Genomic DNA, 26,324 nt, shown 5'->3' with positions numbered 1-26,324 from the left:
GGGCACTTTATCTCCTGGTTTTCTTTTTCCTCATAAACCTGTCCTTCCCAGTCTCCTTTGCTAAGTTTTCCTTAACTCTTCGACCTTTGAATGTTAGAATATTCTCTATTTGAAGCAAGTCTCTAATTGAATGAGGCCTTCAGTGAAGGTTTTCCTGACCATCCTATTTATAATTTAATCATATATATATCCCCAGTACTACTGTCTCCTTTTTCTGCTTTTTTCTCTAAAATAAAGGATGTAACATATTTTACTTACATATTTTGTGAATGAAGGAATGTATTTATGGACAAATAATCAGGAACTTTTGTAACTAATCAAAGTTTTACAATCACAAAACTTTACTGTCATACTTTTAGAGGCCCAGTAGAGAAAAAGGCTGTGTAGACATCAATAGAATGGACTATTTTCTGTTTTTCCGTAAGTTGTTAAGATCTCTGCATATGAATTACTTCCCTTTTGTGACTGAAATTTTTCTGTTTCTTTTTTTTCCTGTGGTGATACACATATAGCAAAGTGTGCAAGCATTCTACTTTTAAGTATAAGCCTAATAAATATTTGTATATGTATACACTGATGTAACCTTCACCCATATTCATGTGTAGAATATGTCCAGCATAGGGTAAAGTCCTCACATGTCCCTTCCCAGTTTGTAACCTACCACTATGAAATAAACATCATCCTAAGTTGTTTCACCATTAATGAATTTTTACCGGTTTTTGATCTTCATATAAATGGTATCATACAGTATATTCTCTTTTGTGTATGGCATCTTTCACTTGTTTTTTGAAATTCACCCATGTTTTGTATATATCAGCAGTTTGCTCTTTTTTTTTTTGTACTGCTGTTTAGTATTTCATTGTATATCAGCAATAAAAAATTACCCAGTCTGTTGTTGGTAAATATTTGGGTTATTTCCAGATGTTGACTACTGTGAGTAAAGTTCGTGCAAATATACTTATCTATTTATTTTGGTGGTCCTATGTACTATTTCTCTCAGATATATACCTGGGAGTACAATTTCTGGGCCATATAGTAGAGGATTTTCAGCTTTAGAAGATATTTTCAAAGAGTTTTCTAAAGTGACTATACCAATATATAGTTCTACTAATAATGTATGAGTTCTACTGTCTTCAACTCCTCACCAGAACTTATCGTCCGCGTTTTTCACTTGTAGCCATTCTGGTAGAAGTATAGTGATGTTCTGCCATGATTTTAATTTGCATTTCCCTGATGAATAATGAGGTTGAATATCTTTTCATGTATTTACTATCCATTTGGATATCTAGTCTTGTGAAGTTTTGGTTCGAGGTTCTTGCCCATTTTTCTATTAGGTCTTTATATATCTTTTTCTTAATAATTTGTATGTTACTACTTCACAAACAACGTAGAAACCTTTAGACAACTCCTTGTATGACTGTTGTTACATAGTTTACTTTAATCTGTGTTATAAATCTTTTAATACACTTTTACTCCATTGTTGCTTTATGTTTTCTTTACTCATTAATTTTAAGTATCTTTTTATTTACCCATATATTTACCCGTTTGGTGCTTTTTATTTCTCCCTAGTGATCCATGTTTCTATCTGGAATCATTTTTCTTTAGCCTAAAAAACTTCCTTTATTGTTTTCTTGTAATGTGAATGTGTTGTGACAAATTCTTGATAGGATTTTGTTGATCTGAAAATGTCTTTATTTTTACCTTCATTTTTGAAGAATACTTGTGCTGGGTTAGAATTCTAGCTTGGCAGCTTTTTCTTTCAGAGCTCTACTGTATTATTTCATTGTTTTCTATAATAACTTCCATAATATTTCTTGAGAAGCCAGCTGTTAATCTTAAGCTCTTGAATGTAATGTGTATGTTTTCCCTTCTGGCTGCTTTCAGTATTATGTCCTTAACTTCAATTTCAAATAGTTGGACTGTGATTCACGTACGTGTCGCTTTCTTTATGTGAACAGAAAATCCTGGTTGAGATTCATTGAGCTTTTGCAATTTTCTTTGATGTCTTTTATCAGTTTTGCAAAATTCTAAGCCATAATCTCTGTAGATATTATTTTGCCTCATGCACTTTCTCCTCTCCTTCTGGGACTGTAATTGTGTATATGTTAGATGGTATCTCACATTTCCTTTATGCTCTGTTCTGTTCCTTCCGTTCTTTCTGTTTTTTGTGTGCTTCATTAAGATATTTTCTATTGATCTGCCTTCAGGTTCACTAGTTCTGGCTTCTGCTTTATCCATTTTGCTGTTAAGTCCATCTAATTAGTCTTAATTTCAGATATTGTCTTTTTTAGTTAAGGATTATTCATTTGATTCTCTCAGTTTCAGTTTTCTGTTGAAATTTCCCCATATTTTTATGTATTTTTTTCTCTGTTTTCTTTAACATTTTAATATTTTGAGGTCCTTATCTGTTACTTTCAACAACTGAATCTTCTGCGAGCCTGCCTTTCTGTTTTTTTCTTTCATTTGTCATGCTTTTCTGCTTTTCCAAATGTCTCATGTGAAAGATGTCATGAATAAAAATAACACAGAGAAGGAAGTTTATATTATTTTTGCCCCAGAGAGGTTTCTCCCTTTTCATTCCATCAAGAATTGAGCTTGGACAAGACTAAATTGCTTTTTTTTTTTTTTTTTTTTTTTTTTTTTTTTTTTTTTTTTTTTTTTGGGAGACAGAGTCTCGCTCTGTCGCCCAGGCTGGAGTGCAGTGGTGTGATCTCGGTTCACTGCAACCTCCGCCTCCCAGGTTCAAGCAATTCTCCTGCCTCAGCCTCCTGAGTAACTGGGACTACAGGCACGTGCCACCATGCCTGGCTAATTTTTTGTATTTTTAGTAGAGACAAGGTTTCACCATGTAAGCCAGGATAGTCTCGATCTCCTGACCTCGTGATCCGCCCGTCTCAGCCTCCCTAAGTGCTGGGATTACAGGCAAGAGCCACTGTGCCTGCCCCTAAATTGCATTTTTAATTAGACTCAACCCTACCTTTGATTTCAAATGCCCAGAATCGGGAGCTGGATAGAGCCTAGTTGGGCCTCTTTCTCCTTCACTTCCTAAACTATGGGAGATTTATTCTGTTCTTCAGCCTTCTGCCCTATACCATTTCCAAATTTGGTGTCTTGATGAAGAGACTGGCCATGTATTTGAAGCAGATTCTCTTCCTCAAGCAGCTCTTTGTCTCTGAAATAATTCTGTACTATCGGAGATTTCTGTCTGACTTTTCAAAGCTCCCTAACTTCCCATGCAGCCCCCAAGTACATCAATTAAAATATACCATGGGAATAAAAGCACCATATGCTTAGGGACTTTGAGATTTCCAAATTGTTGCACCATCCCCACACATCCTCCAGAAGCTTCAGTGGTTTTTCTTTCCAGCATGTTATCTCTCAATTTAAAGGCCAGGCTTGACCTAAGTACACTCACAGAAATGGATAAGGCTTCCAGGTAAGAAGCAGTTGTAATAGCCTCTTCACCTCAGAATGCCTCACTTCCCTGGCTCACTTTCCCAACTCCAACTGAAAAAGCAAAGAGAACTAAGTAAAATAAACCAAAGATGTTTTTAAAAATAAGATTTTCTCAAATTATGTATTGAATTTTTACTTTCTACGGCAGGAGAAACAAAGCAGTGACCTGTTGCTTCCTAGTCCATCCCCTTATGACTAAGAATTTCCTATGTTTTGGGTTTTTTTTAAATGTTTTGAATTCTTTAATTTGTTCTTGGTATTTTTACATGTGTAGTATCGTTTGCACAGAGCAAAGTGAACAAAAATGTAAGATCATTGCCTTTTGGTATGAATACTTGTTTCATAGCAGTGACATAGATTAACATTTAAACTGATTCATTCATTTATTAGCTGTTTATTGAGTATCAAACAGCCCAGGAGCTGTACTGCCCATGACCAGGAATGTAATAAAAAGCAGATAAAGGCAAAAATACCTCCCCTTGTTATGTTTGCATTCTGTTTTGAGGAGACAGACAATAAATCACATACAAAGTAGGGTCATCCACTGAGAGTTAGGAAGGTAGAGGAGATATTAGATATTTGACAAGAAAAAGAGAAAATGTGAAATGGTCAGTATGGAGACGAAAAGAGTAAATGAGCTAGGGAAATAGTTTAGGATCGCCAGATATTTCCAAGTTATTTAAGTTCAGTAATCATGAGTTTTAAATGACTGTGTATTTTTTTCAGCCATTTTCAGCTACTTGGGTAAAATCATACAGTAGGAGGAGAGTAGAAATTATCCAAGATAGAGGGCCTTCTAGAATAAGTACAATGGAGGAGAGAAGGGTAAAGAAATTGAAGGTATTTGCAAAACAGTGATGGACCAAAGAATCTAACCAGGGTAAGTAAGAAAGTAAAGAGGAAAAAAATGGAAAATGTTAGGAACACATTGATTGGCATTTCTGGTTGGAATGAAAAATTGTTGAAGTGGTCCCTAGAGTAGTAAGCTGTACAGATGAGAGAGATGATTTTGGAGGCCATGCAGTTATTGATAATGACAAAGTGTATAGTTGAATTTCTTTTTTATTTATTTATTTATTTATTTATTCATTTATTTTTTTATTGATCATTCTTGGGTGTTTCTCGCAGAGGGGGATTGGGCAGGGTCATAGGACAATAGTGGAGGGAATGTCAGCAGATAAACAAGTGAACAAAGGTCTCTGGTTTTCCTAGGCAGAGGACCCTGCGGCCTTCCGCAGTGTTTGTGTCCCTGGGTACTTAAGATTAGGGAGTGGTGATGACTCTCAACGAGCATGCTGCCTTCAAGCATCTGTTTAACAAAGCACATCTTGCACCGCCCTTAATCCATTTAACCCTGAGTGGACACAGCACATGTTTCAGAGAGCACAGGGTTGGGGGTAAGGTCACAGATCAATAGGATCCCAAGGCAGAAGAATTTTTCTTAGTACAGAACAAAATGAAAAGTCTCCCATGTCTACTTCTCTCTGCACAGACACGGCAACCATCCGATTTCTCAATCTTTTCCCCACCCTTCCCCCCTTTCTATTCCACAAAACCGCCATTGTCATCATGGCCCGTTCTCAATGAGCTGTTGGGTACACCTCCCAGATGGGGTCGTGGCCGGGCAGAGGGGCTCCTCACTTCCCAGTAGGGGCGGCCGGGCAGAAGCGCCCCTCACCTCCCGGATGGGGCAGCTGGCCAGGCGGGGGGCTGTCCGCCCCCACCTCCTCCCGGACTGGGCGGCTGGCCGGGCAGAGGGGCTCCTCACTTCCCAGTAGGGGCGGCCGGGCAGAGGCGCCCCTCACCTCCCAGACGGGGCAGCTGGCCGGGCGGGGGGCTGACCCCCCCACCTCCCTCCCAGACGGGGCAGCCGGCCAGGCAGAGGGGTTCCTCAGTTCCCAGTAGGGGTGGCCGGGCAGAGGTGCCCCTCGCCTCCCGGACAGGGCGGCTGGCCGGGCGGGGGGCTGACCCCCCCACCTCCCTCCCGGACGGGGCGGCTGGCCTGGTGGGGGCTGACCCCCACCTCCCTCCCGGACGGGGTGGCTGCCGGGCGGAGATGCTCCTCACTTCCCAGACGGGGTGGCTGCCGGACGGCGGGGCTCCTCACTTCTCAGACAGGGCGGCTGCCGGGCGGAGGGGCTCCTCACCTCTCAGTCGGGGCGGTTGCCAGGCAGAGGGTCTCCTCACTTCTCAGACGGGGCGGCCGGGCAGAGACGCTCCTCACCTCCCAGACGGGGTTGCGGCCGGGCAGAGGCGCTCCTCACATCCCAGACGGGGCGGCGGGGCAGAGGCGCTCTCCACATCCCAGACGATGGGCGGGCGGGCAGAGACGCTCCTCACTTCCTAGATGGGATGGTGGTGGGGAAGAGGCGCTCCTCACTTCCTAGATGGGATGGCGGCCGGGCAGAGACGATCCTCACTTTCCAGACTGGGCAGCCAGGCAGAGGGGCTCCTCACATCCCAGACGATGGGCGGCCAGGCAGAGACGCTCCTCACTTCCCAGACGGGGTGGCAGCCAGGCAGAGGCTGCAATCTCGGCTCTTTGGGAGGCCAAGGCAGGCGGCTGGGAGGTAGATGTTGTAGCGAGCCGAGATCACGCCACTGCACTCCAGCCTGGGCACCATTGAGCACTGAGTGAACGAGACTCCGTCTGCAATCCCGGCACCTCGGGAGGCCGAGGCTGGCGGATCACTCGCGGTTAGGAGCTGGAGACCAGCCCGGCCAACACAGCGAAACCCCGTCTCCACCAAAAAAATACGAAAACCAGTCAGGTGTGGCGGCGCGCCTGAGGCACTCGGCAGGCTGAGGCAGGAGAATCAGGCAGGGAGGTTGCAGTGAGCCGAGATGGTAGCAGTACTCTCCAGCTTTGGCTCGGCATCAGAGGGAGACCGTGGAAAGAGAGGGAGAGGAAGACCGTGGGGAGAGGGAGAGGGAGAGGGAGAGGGTTGAATTTCTTAATTGGTGAACCACAAGCATTTGGGGTGAGGTAATTTTTTCACATGAGAGAGAGTTTCACACTCTGAGATATTGAACATTCTGAGTTTCCAGATGTTAAATGCTTGTAGCAGTCTCCTCATGTGCTGTGTCAACAACTGACTCCCGTTCTCCTGTCCCCTTACATAAGGTGATGGTACCACCTGCAGTAGAGAACCACTAGTTTAGGATGTGGCCAGTTAATCTGATGGTTATGCTGGAGAGAAGTCTATCAGCTAGATTGTTTTGGGCTGCAGATGTGAGAATTCTTAAATAATATGGATTTATTTTCTCACTTAAGTCAGAAGTAAATGGTTTCAGTGCCAATTTTAGGGTAGCTTCCCTATTAATTTCTTGGCTTTCCTTACATGATTCCACAATATTGTAAGCCTCAACTTTCAGATGTAAACTTTGGAAGGTAAGACCTCCCTTCATACACCAGATTCAGTTCTTCATATATCATCTGACAGACATACCAGGCATTTCATTTATCACACGGTGATGTTCCCTGCTAGGACAAAAAGGAGCTAAGTAGATTCATTGGCAGAGTACACCAAGAATTCCATCTTCATATCTGCACATATCCAGAGACCCAGAAAGTGGAAAGATTCATTTAGTTTCATACATCTTTCATTTAATGGGAGATTAAAACCTCTCCCTGAAGCCCCCTAGTGGACTTCTTCTCAAGGTACCATTTAAGTTCTAACTAGGTCACATACCTAATTCTTGACCAACACTTGCAATGTAGAATGGAATTATTATGATTAACTTAAACCAGCCAGTTTTGACTGGGCCCACCTTACATGTGCACACTGTAGCCTGATAATTGAATTTGGTTCACAAGACAGAAGAGATGAATAGATGTCGGGTAAAAACAAGCAGTATCTGCCGTAGGGGATTTATGTGCCTCAGAAGTCAGTGTTAGATGGATTATCTATTTTGATGTTAAAGTTACTAAGAATAATAAGAAGAGTAGTAATGGAAAGAACAGCAGAGAACAACATGTAAAATCCTTATTTAAAAAAGAGTAAGATAGGGAAGACAAGTGGATAACCACATAAGCAGGAAATGGTCATTTCAGTAGACCTAGGAATTTTGAGGAAAGAGGTGGCAATAATGAGCGAGGATGCCTGCCCCACCTTCATACCTGTGGTAGGTGGGGTACAGGAGGAAAAGTAGCTCCTATTAATGTCCATTTGGTATTCTTTGGTCTTTTGTTTGTTTGTTTTTTTTTGAGACAGAGTCTCGATCTATCACCCAGGCTGGGTGTAGTGGCATGATCTCAGCTCACTGCAACCTCTGCCTCCCAGGTTCAAGCGTTTCTCCTGCCTCAGCCTCCCGAGTAGCTGGTATTACAGGCATGCACCACCATGCGTGGCTAATTTTTGTATTTTTAGTAGAGACGGGGTTTCACCATGTTGGCCAGGCTGATCTCAAACTCCCAACCTCAGGTGATTCATCTGCCTTGGCCTCCCAAAGCGCTGGGATTACAGGCATGAGCCACCGCACCTACACCTCCCCTGCATTGGGTATTTTTATGTCTCCCCATTTTCTACCCCCAATTTAGATGTCTTAAAAAATAAAAACAATGGATGTTCTTTTCAAAATAATAAATACGGAAAGGACCAGTTTTTAGTATGTTTTGAACCCAAAGAGAAAGAAATGTATAAGAAATACTTATAGGATGCAGAAAATCAACATCAGATGCACAATCTAGTATATCTTATACCTTTAATTCAAATTAACAAATATTTATTGACTGCCAAACATATAGGGATTATGGTTTACACACACACACACGTACATATGCACACACAAAGTAATCAGTAATGATTTGCACTAACTCATAAAGAATTATGGTAAGGGAGAGACTTATTATGTGAGAATCCCTCCATAAATAGCAGAATACCTATTTTAGAACAAAGGGCAATTTCATTTCTGATGTAAAATGGTAAAAAATGTTTTCTTTGTTCCATGTCTTTTGATGATATCTGGGAATAAGCCTCAATAGAGTTATTGTTTTTTTAAAACCTTGTATTTTTTAATTAGAAGTGCAAGATAAATTAATATTTTCTATTTTAACTAAATATTTTAGCTAAATTGTTGAGCCATGGTTACCTGTAGCTGGGCCTCAACTTTCAGACATAAAATTTGGAAGGCCAGCATTTCTGCATATGTATATTAACATGCCTAACTCTCCATTTGTAAACCAGATTCAGTTCTTCGTATAGCATCTGACTGACATACCAGGCTTTTGAGTTATCACATGGTGATGTTCCTACTAGGAGAAAAAGGAGCTATGTAGTTGATTCATTGGCAGAGTACGCCAATAGTATTTAAAACCAAAAATTATTAGAAGGTGGATTCTTTTGTATATATATATATGCAGTGGATTTTTTTTTTTTTTTTTTTTTTTTTTTTGAGATACAGTCTCACTTTGTCTCCCAGGATGGAGTACAGTGCCATGATCAAGGCTCACTACCACCTCAACCTCCGGGGCTCAAGCAATTCTCCCATCTGAGCCTCCTGAGTAGCGGGACTTCAGGCATGTGCCACCATGCCCTGCCAATTTTTATATCTTTTGTAGAGAAAGGGTGTCATTCTGTTGCCCAGTCTGGTCTCATACTCCTGTACTCAAGTGATCCTCCCACTTTGGCCTCCCAAAGTGCTGGGATTACCATGCCTGGTCTGATTTTTTATGACTTAATTTTTGAGTATTCACATGCTTTTTGTCAGTGAGTAGATGTTTTGTTCTATAAAATTGTATAAGAATTTCTCTCCAAAAAAATAATGTTATTAGTTTTAAGAATTTAGAGTATGGTGATATTTTTATTTCTTTTATCCTTTTTTTTAAAGAGTCAACACAGACTGTCCAAGCTCTGCAGTATTCAACTGTTGATGGTCCACTAACAGCAAGCAAAGATTTAGAAATAAAAAACTTAAAAGAAGAAATTGAAAAACTAAGAAAACAAGTAACAGGTAAATATCTGTGATTCACTGTTAATTCAATTTAGGAAATGTTTAAAAAATGGTTTATTCACACAAAAAACATCTATTGAGAACCTGTCTGTGTTATGTGATGTGAGTTGCATGCTAGTCAGGGAAGGGCAAATAAGAATGGGTTCTGCTCTCAAGGAGTTCACATTTTGGTCTGGGAAACAGATAAACAGTTATTGCAATACATATGAAAAGGCTATCAGGAAAAATAAATGGAGGTACGTGGAGAGTACATAGGAGGATCACCTGACACAGACTTACGTGAACAAGGATGGCTTTTTTGGAAGGCCTATTCATTTTGGAATTTGTCTGGCAAAGCATATTTGTGAGGAGAGGAAAAGGTGAGTTAGGAGTGAGGAAGAAGGACACTAGAGACAAGCAGAGTGCATGTATACAGGCATCAAGAAAATTTATTTTCTTTGTTAATGCAATTATTTTTTCAGTGTATTACTGAGATTAAAACTAAATTTGACAAGTGTTCGTATACCTATTATTCATTTATTGCATTTTTTCAATAAATATATTGAGCACCTACTATGTAGCAGGTGTTGTTTTAGGCTCTTGGGATTCAACATTAAGCAAAACAGACTAAACAAAAATTCTTTGCTTTGGCCTGGGTAAAGGACAGAAAACAGAAACCAGTAAATATATAACTTTGTAAATGATACAATATGTTGGAAGGTAATAAGTGCTTTAAAAATAAGAATAGAATAAGGAGAATTAGTCAGATGTGCAAAATGAGGAGTTTTATCATTTTAAATATAGTGCTCCAGGGGTAGGCCTGACTGAGAAGGTGACATGTTAGCAAAAATTTAAAGAAGGCAAGGGGGTTAGCCATACAGTTATCTGCAAAATATGTGTTCCAGGCAGAAGGACTAGCCGGTGCAAAAACTCTAAAATCAAATGTGCCCCAGGTGTTCAAGTAAAACAGAGAGTACTGGATGGCTAGAGCAGAATGAGCAGGCAGGGAGAATGGAAGGAAATGAGAACTAAAGGGGTGAAATGGGCTTGTTGCCTGATCAGTAGAGCCTTACTGATTGTTGTAAGGTCTTTGGTTTTTACTCAGAATGAAATGGCAGTTTTTCGCAGGGTTTAGAGGCATTACATGATCTGAATAAGCAGAGGGATAGGGAGAGAGAGCAGAAGGTACTATTTTAACGAGAATGGTGAGGCCTCTCCAGAAAGGTAGTTTTAGGCAAAAATAAGTGAAAGAGAAGAAATAATCTAATGTAGCATCTTTTATAAAAATGACTATTTAAAATGCCATATTAATACTTTGTTTATATTAAATATATGGAGATCTTAGTTTTGAGCATAATTTATGAATGCTATTTTGTGTTTTTAAGAGGCTCTCCTCCTAAGAAATATCTATATATCTAATCTCTGTTACTTTATCTTTCCAAAAGTAAGTTATTGTAGATTGGGAACATGATAAGTGAATCATGGAGTTTGCTTTGGTACCAACAATAACATTAAGAGTGCCACTGAATGTCTGTGTTAGAGTTGTATGACACTAAAAAAGCAGTAGAACAGAAGACCAGCTAGAATGGTCAGTGATTCGTCTTCAGAGAAGCGATATCGATTTGGAAAACTTATTCATAAGCATATCTCTCCTCTTTTTAATAGTAGAATGTGGCTTTGAATGGCAGTAGCTTTTGAAAGCTTGCTAATTAATTTTAAAACTGCCTTGAAATAGATGGTATTGATGTAAAATATTCAAATCAACAATCTAGTTGTTATGTCATTCACTAAAATAGTTGTGAGCTTCTTTGTTAGCTCTATGTAAGAGCTGAATTTTTAAATATTAAAACGTTTTGCTGTCATTCACAATAATGTTCTGGCACTATCCAAAGGAAACCTTTGTTGATGTCTAACCCAGTATATATAGAATAATAATAAGTAATTTCATTTTCTGAGCAATTCCAAATGGTATCGTATTTTTAATTTTATTGTTCATGTGTTTATTGTAATATATAGAAATATAGTTGATTTTTATATGTTTATTTTGTATTCTATAGTGTTGCTGAACTCACTTATTAGTTCTAGGAGGGTTTTTAAAAAATAGATTCTTTGGGATTTTTAATTCTGACAATCATGTCACCTGCAGGTGGGAACAGTTTTATTTCTCCCTTTCTGATCTATATGCTTTTTGTTTCCTTTTCTTGCCTTATTGCAAGAACTTGCAGCACTGTGTTAAAAGAAGAATGATGAGAAGAACATTCTAGCTTCTTAATCTTGGGGAAAAGCATTCATTTTCCTCTGTTTCTGTACTTCTAAGGGTTTTTAAAATCATTAATGGGTGCTGAATTTTGTCAGATTCTTTTTCTGTATCAATTGATATGAACATACGATTTTCAAAAAATAACCTGTTAATATGGTGAATTACATTGGTTGATTTTAAAGTATTGAACCAGCCATACATCCCTGTTGTAAACCATGGTCATGGTGTACAATTATTTTTATATATTGCTGAATTCCATTCCTAATATATTTTTAAGGATTTTTGCATCTATATACATGAAGGATATTAGTCTTTAGTTTTCCTTTTTTTTCTTCTTTTTCCTTTCTTACCTTCCTTCCTTCCTTCCTTCCTTCCTTCCTTCCTTCCTTCCTTCCTTCCTTCCTTTCTTGTACTGCCTGTTTTCTCTGTCAACGTAGCTGGTGGCTCCTGTCACCAGCAGCCACCAGAGGCCTGAACAAAAGAGTACCAGCAGGGGATCCACCTGCATGCATCCTTTCTGAAGCAACCTTGCAGTCAGGAGTCAGATTGCTGGTACAGTGTCAATGACAACCTCGATGTGAACATTTAAGAGTTTTTAGTACTTACCTTGTGGCACGTGGCACCCCTGGAGGCCACACACCTGGAGGTCAGGGAGTGCAGGCAGACAGAGAACTTTGAGCAGGAGAGCATGGCAACTAGCAGTATATATTAGGGAATAGGGTGTAGGTCACTTTAAGTTTGTAAGCCAGTGCTTGAATGGTCCCCTTAGAGGAGGCAGCTGGAAGGCAGGATCCCAGTCTGCTAGGTGGGAGAGATGTCTCCTGCTTGAGCCCCTTGGGTGTGGTGTAGAACTGGAAACTGCATCAAGAGTGACTAAACCCTGCCTCTGAAACAAGAAAGCTAAACCTGCATTCAAAGTGGATGCTGAGGCAACATAAAATTATTATAAAATTATACATTTATTATAAATTTATGATTTATTTTAAAGTAAAATTAAATATGCTGTAAATTTGTAAATACAGTTGATCCTTGAGCAACATGGATTTGAACTGTGTGGATCCACTTATATGCAGATTTTTTTCCCAACCAAATAGAGATTGAAAATACAGTATGCTTTGGATCCGAAACCCAACCCAGGTTGGAGGTAGAAGTCCAGGTTCCCCGTGTGGTTTCTACTGACAATGTGTGAGGAGAGGCTTGTTGTCAGCCAGTGAGGGTTAATGTCCTGTCTTTTTCTGACATCACTCTTTTTTTTTTTTTTTTTTTTAATTTGTAGACAGAGTCTCACTCTGTTCCCCAGGCTGGAGTGCAGTGACGCGATCTCAGCTCACTGCAACTACCATCTCCCAGGTTCAAGCAATTCTTGTGCCTCATCCTCCTGAGTAGCTGGGACCACACCCAGCTAATTTTTTGTATTTTTAGTAGAGACGGGGTCTCGCTGTGTTGCCTGGGCTGGTCTCAAACTCCTGTCCTCAAGTGATTCGCCCTCCTCAGCTTTCCAAAGTGCTGGGATTTTTGGGATGAGTAACCACACCCAGCATTTTTCTGACACCACTCTTGCAGATGTGTTTGAGCATCTCATTATAGCCTCATGAGGTTGGAAATCTAGCTCCCCCTGCACTTGTCCATTGTTGACATTGGTGACATGGGGCCAGTTTTTTTTTTTCTGTGATGTTTATCTCAAGTAGAATTGTTACTTTCTGTGAGTTGTCTGTCTTTCTGGTCTACCCCTTTCCTAATCCTTTGGCTAGAAAGAGCAGGCTTTTGTTGGGGCTTTTTCTCTTTACAGCTGTTGTCATTTATGGGTTACCATCTTCTTTAGTTCTAATTCTGGGATATATGAACCAAGAAGAAACCCCAGAAAACTCACCGTTATGTTGTTTATCAGGTCCCAGTGTCCTGAGGAAGTTTTTTTCTTCACATTTCGGAGTCGTCTTATGTTTGTTTTATGTATAATGTCTTAGGGTTTTAAGTTATACTTAAAATGGGAAGAATGGGAAATATATCTATTCCTTCTTCCCAGAACTTGAAGTCTCCAGAGTAAGCTTTTAAAGTATAAGTCTGTTGAGGTCACAGCTTCAACATACCTATCTTCAGTGGATCCTCATTGCCTCCAGGATAAAGTAGAAATTTCTCAATTCTAATACAAGGCCCTTCATTATTATGCATGTATTTGCCTCTCGAGCTTTGTCTCTTGTTACTACTTCCTTGCCCAGTGATTCCAGCCATGCTGAATCACCCAGTGATGCTCCACTTCCTTCACATACTGTTTTTTTCCTACCCTTTCTTTCTTTCCTTCCCTTTTTTTAAAAAAATACAAATTGAAGTCTCCCCTTAGGACCTGCCTGATGAGTAGCCCCAACTTTAATTTGGCTCTGAAGAAAAAAATATATATACCTTCAAAGAAAAAATATATACCTCCAAAGAAAAATACATACCTCTGAATAATATATACCTCTGAAGAAAAAAAATATACCTCCAAAGAAAAAATACCTTCAATCTGTCATTCCTCCAGATACTTCTTGAGCAAAGTCTTTGTGTATACAAATACCCACCATTAATGACTGTTTCTCTTGTGTTTCCCAGCAGCAGTGTTCTCCAATATTTTTAAGTTTCTGGAAAAAAATGCGACAGTTTTATAATTATTGACAACTTCTTTTTAATATTTGCTTCTTTACCATACTCTGAGCTTCTAAAGGTTAGGGGTAGGTTATAGTAGGTTTTCCCACTATATTCCTAGTGCCAAGCTTATTGCCAGTATTGTATAACTGACACTATATATATATTTGTTGAGTATCTGCAGACAAAAATAAAATTTTTTTAAATAAAAAATTCATACCTCATTTAATATTTTTGTATGAGAAAATAGAATTTTTTTGTCTCCTAAATGAAAAATTTATTATAATCTATAATGTACTTCTGAGACTCTCGTTCTTATGTTGCCTTGAGGTTGGGGATATGTGCCTCTGTGTACTGTTTCTGTTTCTCCAACCCCAAACTAACACACACACACTCTCTCTCTCTCTCCCCTCCCTACCTCCTGTGAATAGGGGCATTGATAATAAAGGAGCCTATTTTTACTGATTATAATTAGAAATAAAGTTTCTTCGCATCTCAGAAGAGTTACATAATGGGAAAAATGAAACTATCCATCTTGTGGATCAGGGAGATGTTTTGGTTATTCTGCCAACCTCCCACTGGGTCTAGTCTTAACTCCTTTCCAGTTTATAGTGTTCCACTTTGAATACTGCTTTAATCATGCCCATTTTTTGACCTCAATTCCTATAGCACATACAGCCTGCCACACAATTTGCATTTGATTTTCTACTTTATTATTTTTTTAAAGAGTGTTGCTGTTGTCTAACTTACCTCCTTCAAGACAGATTCCATGTTTTATATTTCTCTTCCATGCCATACAGTGCCAAGAAAATAACCCCATATGTATGATGCCTTCATTAAGTCCTCATTACTAACAAGTTGAATTTTATAGTCCTAAATAGCACCCGTGAGCTAAGAACCATTTAGTTGGTATCAGCTAACCCAGTTTCGTAGTACTGTTTTTTCTTTTGAGACAGAGTCTCATTCTGTCACCCAGGCTGGAGTGCAGCGATGCAATCTTGGCTCACTGCAGCCTCCGCCTCCTAGGTTCAAGTGATTCTCCCGCCTCAGCCCTTCTCGAGTAGCTGAGTTTATAGGTGTGCGCCACACCTGGCTAATTGTTGTAATACTAGTAGAGATGGGGTTTCACCATGTTAGCCGGGCTGGTCTTGAACCCCTGGCCTAAGGTGATCTGCCAGCCTCGGCCTCCCAAAGTGCTAGGATTACAGGCATGAACCATGGTGCCCGGCCTAGTACAGCTTTTTCTATTTGTTCACTATAATTAGTTTTTAACAACTTTATCTAAATGTCATGGCTAATTGTGTTGGGTATTTATAATAGTCTCTGGATTTCTTTCAGAATTATAGCCATATTTGCTATTTGTTGTAGTGAAAGTAAAGGCTCTGCTGCCTTACTCATTTTATAGTATTTGACCAAAGTTCAGAGCATTCTGGATTTTTCGTGATATGGGGTTTTCATCTTTTGGGAATGCAACATTCTGTGTTTTCCAAATTACAAGTGCTGTGTTTCTCTCCATAATGGAGGATTTTATTAAATATTAGGGGAGGGGTTATCTTTTCCAACACTTCTTAATCTAGTACATTATTTTTTACTTCTCATAATTCACATACTGTTGTTTAAATGAATGTTTTGAGCTTTTTTCACTTTTGAAAAGTGACTGAAGTATAAAACAGGGAAATTTGACATATATTCTCTAACAACTCCATTGCAAAGCAGCCAGAATGAAATGGCTGTGGTGAGAACTGAAATTAACACTATATTGAAACAAATCAGTAAAAATATCCTTAAAGCTTTTAGAAGCTATCCCCTGTGATATCATCTGTTACAAACTTTATATGGTAGAGAAATTTTATGAAATACTGAATTTTTTGTTTCTCAGAGCTGTTGAAATAAGTCAGTAACAATAATTTCTGAAAAAACAACATGTTAGAGAAGAACACTTCAGAAGTAGAAGAAAGAAAGTGTGCTCAGAATGGATTACTAAATGTACTATATTGCTACTCTAAATTGATTTTCCTTAACCATAAGATTAGATTAAAATGAACCAGGAAGTGACAGAAGTCAGCTGCCTTACAGGCTACATTTTTACTCTTAATTATGAGAAATAACAAAAGTAAATTAATATTTACTTTAGAAATTGTTGAAATCCGGGCAAGGGGCAGTGGCTCATGCCTGTAATCCCAGCACTTTGGGAGGCTGAGGCGGGCGGATCACCTGAGGTCAGGAGTTTGAGACCAGCCTGGTCAACATGGTGAAACCCCATCTCTACTAAAAATACAAGAATTAGCCAGACGTGGTGGCGAGTGTCTGTAATCCCAGCTGCTCGGGAGGCTGAGGCAGGAGAATTGCTTGAACCTGGAAGGCGGAGGTTGCAGTGAGCCGATATCACACCATAGCTCTCCAGCCTGGGTGATAGAGCAAGACTCCGTCTCCAAAAAAAAAAAAAAAGAAAAAAAAGAAATTGTTGGTATCCTAAAAATGTTAAAAACTTAAACTAGAAAATATTTAAATGTGTTTGAAAGAAATTGATTTAAATAGAAATATTCCCATATGAAATGCCAAAATTTGATAAAGTGATAAAATACAGTTTTCTGAATATAAGACTAAACACCATGATTAAGATTAAACACCCTATGATTTTTAGTTTTCTTCACATAAGCATTCATTAATTGATACTGTTCAGATACTATGAAAACCAGTTAATACAACTTTACATCTTCAAAAGTTAACTATGCTATTAATAACTATACTTTCAAAGTAGGTTTTAAATCTATCAATTTATTGCACTGATATCAGTTATTTATGGAATGTAGAACTATACAATGCATGATACACTAATACATTTAAGTAATTTTTAGACTCCAGGATTCATCTACACAAGTGAATTGCTCTTCCCAATAGGACTAACATATTAACACTGCTTCATTTATTGAAAGCATCAGTCTCAACAATATACAACACTTTGTGCACTGGTTCCCACACATTAATGTACAAATGAATGACTTGAGGATACTGTATAGATTCTGCTTCATTAGGTCTTGACTGGGGCTTGAGATTCTCCATATCTAAGTTCCTAGGGGATGCTCATGTCACTTGTCTGGGGATGTTACTTAGAGCAGAGATCCCCAATTCTCGGGCGACAAACTGGTACCAGCAGACTGGGCCGCACAGCAGGAGGTGAATGGCAGGTGAGTGAGCATTAGCGCCTGAGCTCCACCTCCTGTCAGATCAGCGGTGGCATTAGATTCTCATGGGACCGTGAACCCTATTGTGAACTGCTCATGCGAGGGATCTAGGTTGCATGCCTCTTATGAGAATCTGACTAATGCCTGATGATCTGAGGTAGAACAGTTTCATCCCGAAACCATCTCCCGGACTCCTGGGCTGTGGAAAAATTGTCTTCCACAAAACTGGTCCCTGGTGCCAAAAAGGTTGGGTATTGCTGACTTAGAGTAATAATGTGTAAAGAACAGAAAATATCCAGAGCAGAACCGATAATGAGTGTTGTTTAGATTTCTCTGTATCACTGACTTCAATTCTTTACTAGTTTACTTTTGATACCAGGAACATTTCCTATCAATTTATTACATTTTGAGGCATAGGTTAAAATCAATAATGTTGTTTCTTAAAAGCCCCTCTTATCTGAGAATGTTAAACATTATTTAATAACATTATCTTGTAAGGTGGAAAAGTCAGTGCAAGATTTCCTGGGCTCTAGTCTTAGCTCTGATACACATTTTGCAATGTGACTGTAGGCAAATTATTCAACTCCCTGAGTTTCTTCATCTGAAAAATAGGAGAATTGATTTAGATCAGGAGTTTTTCAGATATTTGCTCTTTAGAAATCAGAGTTTATTCTTCAGATAAATAGTGGTGAAACTAGACTGAGTGATTTGGAACCACCCTGTTAGAATCAAAACCGTCTTACACGGTAATTTGACTAACATCAGCACTAGGATGCTTACCAACACTGCAGTAAAACTTGCCCTTTTTTTGGTTGGTTTTATTGTTGCTTGTTAGTTTTAAATTTTTAATTTTTCCGAAGGTGCTGTTTTTGGAAGCATGCTTTTTTTTTTTTTCCTAATGAGTATGTAAGGCATTGTTGCACATCTTCACACTGGCATACACCATTCACCGTCTTTACAGTGAACTGATAATGCATTTAATTTGTCAAGAGTCATACTGGTATACACTGTCAGATCTAACACTAAATTGAAAATACCAATTTTAAAAAAAATTTTAGTTGTTTTACCTTAGGTTCAATCATTTGCTTTTATACAAATAGTAAAAGAAACATTGTCTTTTGTTTTTAGAATCAAGTCATTTGGAACAGCAACTTGAAGAAGCTAATGCTGTGAGGCAAGAACTAGATGATGCTTTTAGACAAATCAAGGCTTATGAAAAACAAATCAAAACGTTACAACAAGAAAGAGAAGATCTAAATAAGGTAAAATATGTGACTAGATCATTAAAGCTTTTTCTCTATTTTGAATCTTGTATAATAAGAATACTGAAAGCATTCATAATGAATTACAATAATACATAGTATATTTTATCTTCTTAAAAGTTGGTCTAAAAATTTAGGATTATTTTGGTGTATGTTATTTGGTTAGTAGCTAGAAATTAAGAAACTTTGTTGAAGCTTGAAAGTTCAGAATCTTTTGTTCTTTTAGAAAGTTAATAGTCAAAGGACTAGATTAAAAGAATGTTATTGAAAAAGAAACATGAAGAAATAAGAAAATAGTAGAAACTGTTTAGCATCTATAGAAAAAATTTAAAATACAGGCATATTTTCATTATAACTTACTGATATGAACATTCTTAAAATATTATAATTTAAAATTTATTTGGTGATTTGTTTTAAATGTCAGTTTTTATCTTTCAAAGCAGCAGGGGTAAATAAGCTAAAGTTATTTTCATAAGAACTTTGTGAAACATTTAAACATTATTTTAAACATCAAAAAAATTTATTGATAGCTAAGCCTCTGTAACACAGCCCAATAGGGTAAATAATATTCAAGCACTAGAGAAAACACTTTTCTTGAACCACATGCTGCTAAGCACCGTGACTTTCATTAACAAATAGAAAAATGTTGGGACTAATACTAGCCATTGCAAACAAGAAATCAGTAGTTTGTGGCATAGCATAAGTTGTATTCAATGATGTAATATATTAATATAATGCACTGATAATATAGAATGAATGAAGTCCTCCTGGGGAAGATTTGAAAGTCTTGGTGCCAGGAAGGAGATGGAGGGAATTAAAAATAAAACAAATAACCTTTAGCTGATGAAACTAATCAAAAGGACTAAAAGAGAACGCTATTAAAGAATAGATTGAAATAGACCAGTACATTTTTACTTTCTGCTTAATGAGGTTTCAAGCAATTTTTTTGTATAGGTCCATTTAAATTCATTGCCAATTTAATAATATTTGTCATTTAAAACTGTTAGTGTTCTATTTGCTTTAATAATATTATAGTAATATTAATGGTTTACCATTTTTATTGGTAGGATTACTCAGCCAAATTTAGTTAACATAATCGGCGTTATGCTTCCTGCTTTCTACTCTTCTGAGCGATTTCCTTGGAAATCTAAAGAGAAGGATCTTGGATTCTTTCTCTAACCCTTTGGAAAGAGGATGAAAATCAGATAGCTAGATTTATAGTGACAGGTGGTCACCAATTTTTAATGTTTTAGTATTAAAAATCCTTTTTATATATTTTGAGAAGATGATAGTGCTGACGAAAAGAAACAGATTATACCAATAAAGGACTTTGAGTGATTTGCTTAATATCCTATAGGCAGTAGAAAATGATTTTTCTCCACATTCCTTGCCAACACTTGTTATCCTTTGTCTTTTAAAAAAAATAGCCATTCCAATAGATGTGAAGTGACAGCTCATTATGGTTTTGATGTTTACTTCTCTTATGACTAGTGATGTTGAATACTTTTTCATATACCTATTGGCCATTTGTATGTCGTCTTAGAGAAATGTCCACTGAGGTCCTTTGCCCATTTTTTGATTGAGTTAGCAAATATTCTGATTTTTTATAATGCCAAACTGTTTTCTAGCATACCAACTTCCATTTCCACGAGTAGTGTAGAGTTTCTGTGTTCATATTTCCAGATTTATTACTTTTGGCCAATCTAGTCTAAATTGAGATTTTAGGTTTTAGAAAATGTTTGGTTGTGGTCTTAATTTGCATTTCTCTAATTAGTAATGAGGTCAAGTATCTTCACATGGGTCTATTGTCGTTTACATTTCTTTTGTGAAATGCTTCTTAATATCTTTTGTATATTTTTCTGTTGGGTTTTTTTCTTACTGGTTATAAGAATTCTTGGAAATATTTGGGCATTCTAATCTTTTGTGAGTTATATGTGTTACAAATATCTCTCAGTGGCTTATCTTTTTGCTTTTAGGAATCTTTTTATTAAAAAGTGTTCTTAGGTTTGTTGTGGCCAGATTTATCAATATTTTTATGGTTAGTGTATTTGCTGTCTTGTATAAAAAATCTGAGATTTTAAAAAATTCTCCTAAATTTTTATCTTAAAGTTTTAAATTTTTAGGTCTGTATCTCAACTATTTTTTGAAAACTGTGAAGATGGAATTTTGATTAAAACTGCATTTAATCAGCTGGGCATGGTGACTTATGCTTGTAATCCTGGCACTTTTGAGAGGCTGAGGCAGGAGGATCACTTGAGTCCAGGAGTTTGAGACCAGCCTAGGCAACAACAGAATGAGACCCAGTCTCTACAAAAAATAAAAAAGTTAGCTGGGTGGTGCACACCTGTCATCCCAGCTGCTCAGGATGCTGAGGCAGGAGGTTCACTTGAGCCTGGTAGATTGAGGCTGCAGTGAGCCATGATCATGTCACTGCACTCCAGCCTGATCAACAGAGCAAGACCCTATCTCAGGGGGAAAAAAATGCACTGAATTTATAGGTCAATTTAGGGAGAATTAACATCATTACAATATTGTCTTTAAGTTCTTACTATCTATATTTATTACTATTTTTCTGAATATACACACAGATTTCCAGAATAGAACGGATTGTTATTACTTACATACAGCAAAGAATAACTACATGGCTCCCTTCTGTGCCAAGTCTTACCCCAAGAGAAATACCCTGAGAGCTGGCAGGATAAAACCCTACACATAAGGAGTCTGTGTTGTAAATGAGGAGCCTTGAAAACATTTATGCAGGTGCTTATATAGAGGAAAGAAGCAACTGCTTCCTGCTTTCTCCTGTTCTGAGAGAGTTCCTTGGAAATCTAAAGAGAAGGATCTTGGGTTCTTTCTCTAACCCTTTGGAATATAGATAAATATTCCCTCTGGAAATATAAGCCCAGAGTCTCCTGCTCCATCAAAGGAAGCCCCCTTGGTCCAGGCTCCTACTCTCTCCCACCCCACCTTGAAATGTAAACACATAACCTCCAGAAGGTAAATCTCTTAGTTTTCTCACTACTAAATCAGTTATAAGTTACTTTTTAAGACTTTCATTTAGCCCAGGTTTCGGTAAAATTTGTTCAAAAGGGACCAGCTGCAAAAACATAAAAGTTTCTCTGCATTCCTAAAGTCTTTTTATTTGTAAACATGATATCTCTCCATATATTTAAAGTTCTTTTAAAATGTTCTTCCATAAAATTTCATACAGAAAAGACTTTCATTTCTTTTCTTGTTTTACTGTATTAGCTAGAACCTCAGTACAGTGTTGACTAGAAATGATAATAGCAGGCATCCCCATCTTGTTCCCCGATTTTAAAGAAACTGCCTCTGATATTTCATCGCTAATAATGTTTGCTGTAAGTTTTTAATAAATAATTTTTATCAGGTTAAAGAAGTTACCTTCTATTCCTATTTTGTTAATACCTTTTATTTAGAATGGATACTGACTTTATTAAATGTGCCCTTCTGTGCTCTATTGATATGATTATATGATTCTTGTCCTTTAATAAGTTGGTGTGGTGAACTACGTTTGTAGACTTTTTCTAATATTAAGCCACTGTTATATTTCTGGGTTAAGCCCAAATTTCTTATAATACTGTGATAGTATAGATAACATTTATGTAGCAAATATCTGTTCTAATAGCACTGTTGTGAATGCTTTACATATATTAAATTATTTAATCTCCATCACAGCCCCATGAGTTAGGTGTTATTCTCATTTTATGAATGGTGAGACCAAGCACAGAGAAGTTAGTTCACTTGCTCAAGGTCATAGAAATAGAAAGTGGTGGAGCTAGATTTTCAGCACAAGGAGTTTAGCTCCAGACTTCATGCATATCTACTTTATATATCACTGGAACTGATTTACTAATTTTCAAAAAGGGTTTTCACTGTTTTTTATAAGTGAGATTGACGTGTTTTTTTTTTTCCTCTTTTCTTTTTTTTGATATTCAGATTATACTGGTCCATAGAAAGAGTTGAATTGCATTCCTGCTTTTTCTCACGGACCAATGAGTTATTTATAAGTATCTTTTAAAATTTTCAATATATGGAGTTTTATCTTTTTTTGTTGACTTCTAATTTAGTTGCAGTGTCATTACAGAACTTGCTCTACGTGGTATCTGTTCTTTGAAATCTACTGAGACTTGCTTCATGGCGTAGCCTGTTCCATTTTTAAAACATTCAATGTGTGTTCTTGAAAATAGTTCGTGTTCCAATTTAGAGAGCAAGCTTCTGTGTATGAAGCTTTTCAGATCGTCTTTATATTCACTATTTTTTTTTTTTTGCCTACCTGGTTTATCTATTAATGACTAAGAAATTAAAATTTTTCATTATAGTGATGTTTACCAATTTTTCTCTGAAGTTCTAACAGTTTCTTTTTAATGATTTTGAGACTCTCTTATAGAAGGCACAAAAGTTTAGGATAATATTTCTTCTTAGTGTATTGAATTTTATCATTATGTAGTGATATTCCTTATCCTTAGTAATACTTTTTCTACTGAAGTCAAGATTTCATTTCTTAATCCAGTATAATAGATGGCCTTTAACTGGTTACTAATGTATATGGATGTGTTTCTACTATCTTTTTTTCTGTTTGTCATGATTTTTGCATGCTGCTTTTTATTTCCTTTCTTCCCTTCTCAAAAGTTTTTAACTGTGGTAAAATACGTATAACATAAAATTACCATCTAAACAATTTTCAAGTGCACAGTTAAGTAATGTTAAGTGTATTTACATTCTTGTGCAGCAGTCTCCAGAACTCTTTTTGTTTGCAAAATCATTTCTTCTTCACTGAAATTTGTTGTTGTTGTTGTTGACATTTTAGTTTACTCTCTAGTCTTTTGGTGGTTACTCTTGGCTTCTACCATGTGTATTAACCAAGTTTAAGTTTAAGTTAAATATCCTAAAACTATTTCCCACAAACAATTTAAAGACGTTTAATTTTACAGATTGAGTATCCCTTATCTGAAATGCTTGGGACCAGCATTTGGATTTTGGAATATTTGCATTATACCAATTGAGTATTTCTAACCTGAAAATCCAAAATCTGAAATGCTCCAGTGAGCATTTCCTTTGAACATCATGTTGGCACTCAAAATGTTTTGGATTTTGAAACATTTCAGATTTCAAATTTTTTGGATTATTCAAGCTGTATTACCTCTTTACAGCTTTATGTGTTGTTATTGGCCAGTATTTTAGCTGTTATCTTTTGTTTACTGTACAAAGTTAACATTTTTATAGTATAATCTTATATACACATTTGTTTACATTCACATTCATGTTAACCATTTTATTAGCTCTTCATTTCTCTTGCATTAGATCTCTAAAATCTTTTTTTTTTTTTTCCTGAAATAAAGCTTTACTGGTTCCTTTAGTGCAGATCTGATTATGGTAAGCTCTGTCAGTTTTGTTTATATGAAGCCTCAGACTTGAAAAGTAATTTTTGGGGTATATAATTTTAATTATCTTCTCATATCTTTGAAAATATTTTACCCTGTTTCTGTTGCTGTTGTTACTTCTTCAGTGTCTGTTCTTAGTCTAATTTTCCTCCTCCCCGCCTTATTTGAGGATGGGGAATAGGTGATTTGTCTTTCTTTCCCTCTGATTTCTTTACGGTCTTTTATTTCTCTTTGGTATTACCCAGCGTCATTTTTTGAACACTTCTGGTTTGGGTTTTCTAAATTTTTTCTTGATTCATAAATGTAGAGCTTCCTGTGGTGATGGATGCATGTCTTTAATTTTAACATTTATATTTTTTCACTTCTTTTCTTTTCTTTTTTTTTGAGTTGGAGTCTCACTGTATTGCCCAAGCTAGAGTGCAATGGAGTGATCTCAGCTCCCTGCAGCCTCAGCCTCCCAGGCTCAAGTCATCTTCCCACCTTAGTAGCTACGACTATAGGTGCATACCACCATACCTGGCCTTTTTTTTTTTTTTTACATTGTTATTTTTTGTAGAGATAAGGTCTCACAATGTCGCCTAGGCTGATCTTGAACTCCTTGGCTCAAGCAATCCTCCTGCCTCAGCCTCCCAAAGTGCTGGGATTATAGATGAGAGCAACTGTGCCTGGCCTTATGTTTTCTATTTCTAAATGTTCCATACAGTTCTTCTATAAATCTGCTTGGTCATTTTTAATAGCCTTTTGTCATTTTTTTGTTTTTATTATTTCATCCTTTATTCCTTGAAATATTTCATATGTAGCAATTTTGTGTTGATATCTAATGATTTTAATACCAAGATACCTTTGATGTTTATTTTTATTGTTTTTGTTGTTTGATTGTGGTGCTTTGTTCTTTGAGTATTTTGGAATCTGTGGTTGTGAGCTCATTCTTGTTTGTTCTTAATATGTGAAAAATTCAGATTTCATTGCACTTCTTTCCCCCAAAGAAAATTTGCATTTCCTTTTGCTGGGAGGCAGGTAGTGGTACTGCCCTGAGTCCACTTTAGCTCTCCTCTAAGTTTCTCATTTTAATTAGGGAGTCTCCGGTTTAGTTTCTATCTCCTTGCTTCTGGCTTGAGGCGTAGCCTCCATGTCAAGGGCAACACTTGTTTTTTATGAAAACAACCTCACACATATTTATTAAATTTCACAAATATTTATTTTGACCATCATATCGTTTATTCCTAAACTTTTTCCTCATTTGTGGAAACTAAGGTACTATAAGGTTAAATCAGCAGCTCCTGTGCATTTACTGTATTAGCATAAGGAATTGAGACTATATCAGGACACCATGCCGTTAATATCTGTTCAGAAGTAGTTTATTTCTTTTAATTTGTCCTAAGGTGAATAATTTTGGCTCTTCTTGACTTAATGATAGCTATTCTGATGGCCAAATTTGGTCTCTAGGTTGCAGAATTGGTAACTTATATTCTTTTTACAAAACTGTAGGAACTAGTCCAGGCTAGTGAGCGATTAAAAAACCAATCCAAAGAGCTGAAAGACGCACACTGTCAGAGGAAACTGGCCATGCAGGAATTCATGGAGATCAATGAGCGGCTAACAGAATTGCACACCCAAAAACAGAAACTTGCTCGCCATGTCCGAGATAAGGAAGAAGAGGTGGACCTGGTGATGCAAAAAGTTGAAAGCTTAAGGCAAGAACTGCGCAGAACAGAAAGAGCCAAAAAAGAGGTTAGTAGTCAGGCAAATTTTGTAGTGCCCATGGGATAGTGATTAAAGCTGCTTTTTGAGACTAGTAATATAATATATAATTTTTAAAATATTTCTAAAGTTATTTTTATAGTTCATTAATATTATTTAATATGGATTTAAACATTTGAATTATCTTCCTGTTACAAGGTAAATTCTCATTGGGATAAATGTTTTGTTTGGAAAAAAATTATAACCGTGAAATCTGCATTTTTCATTCTGTTTTAAAGCTGGAAGTTCATACAGAAGCTCTAGCTGCTGAAGCATCTAAAGACAGGAAGCTACGTGAACAGAGTGAGCACTATTCTAAGCAACTGGAAAATGAATTGGAGGGACTGAAGGTATCTTTTGACTTCACATTTATGAAGCTTAATTGATTTTCTTCTCTTTAGGCTTGTTAGGAGTGTTAGCTTGTATACTGTATTCGGTGTGCAGTGAAAACTAGCCTTTCTTCAAACCT

General features: G+C 37.3%; 1 protein-coding gene across 25 annotated transcripts in view, besides 1 other annotated feature; it reads left to right on the top strand.

Annotated features, from left to right (window-relative positions):
* Nucleotides 1-26,324, top strand: part of CDC42BPA (CDC42 binding protein kinase alpha) — a 328,635-nt gene that overhangs the window by 179,976 nt on the left and 122,335 nt on the right. For 20 of the 25 annotated variants that reach the window (NM_001366011.1, XM_017002580.3, NM_001366010.2 and 17 more), the window contains 4 exons: nt 9,286-9,408; nt 18,580-18,713; nt 25,604-25,846; nt 26,095-26,205. In NM_001366011.1, the coding sequence (NP_001352940.1) occupies nt 9,286-9,408; nt 18,580-18,713; nt 25,604-25,846; nt 26,095-26,205 (611 nt within the window). The remainder of the gene's footprint in view (nt 1-9,285; nt 9,409-18,579; nt 18,714-25,603; nt 25,847-26,094; nt 26,206-26,324) is intronic. The other 5 variants (NM_014826.5, XM_047432364.1, XM_047432365.1 and 2 more) reach the window with 1 other exon arrangement.
* Nucleotides 16,544-16,693: a silencer, noted in NCBI's record as "fragment chr1:227309525-227309674 (GRCh37/hg19 assembly coordinates)". NCBI's record gives its function as "represses an EF-1alpha promoter that drives an FKBP-Casp9 reporter gene in an ReSE screen in phorbol 12-myristate 13-acetate-treated (for megakaryocytic differentiation) K562 erythroleukemia cells {active_cell/tissue: K562(+PMA)}" and the evidence as "EXISTENCE:reporter gene assay evidence [ECO:0000049][PMID:32094911]".

This window comes from Homo sapiens, chromosome 1, assembly GCF_000001405.40.
Source record: "Homo sapiens chromosome 1, GRCh38.p14 Primary Assembly".
Lineage (NCBI taxonomy): Eukaryota > Metazoa > Chordata > Mammalia > Primates > Hominidae > Homo > Homo sapiens.
Note: the sequence above shows the minus strand (reverse complement) of the source record. Positions and strands in the feature narration are given on the sequence as shown.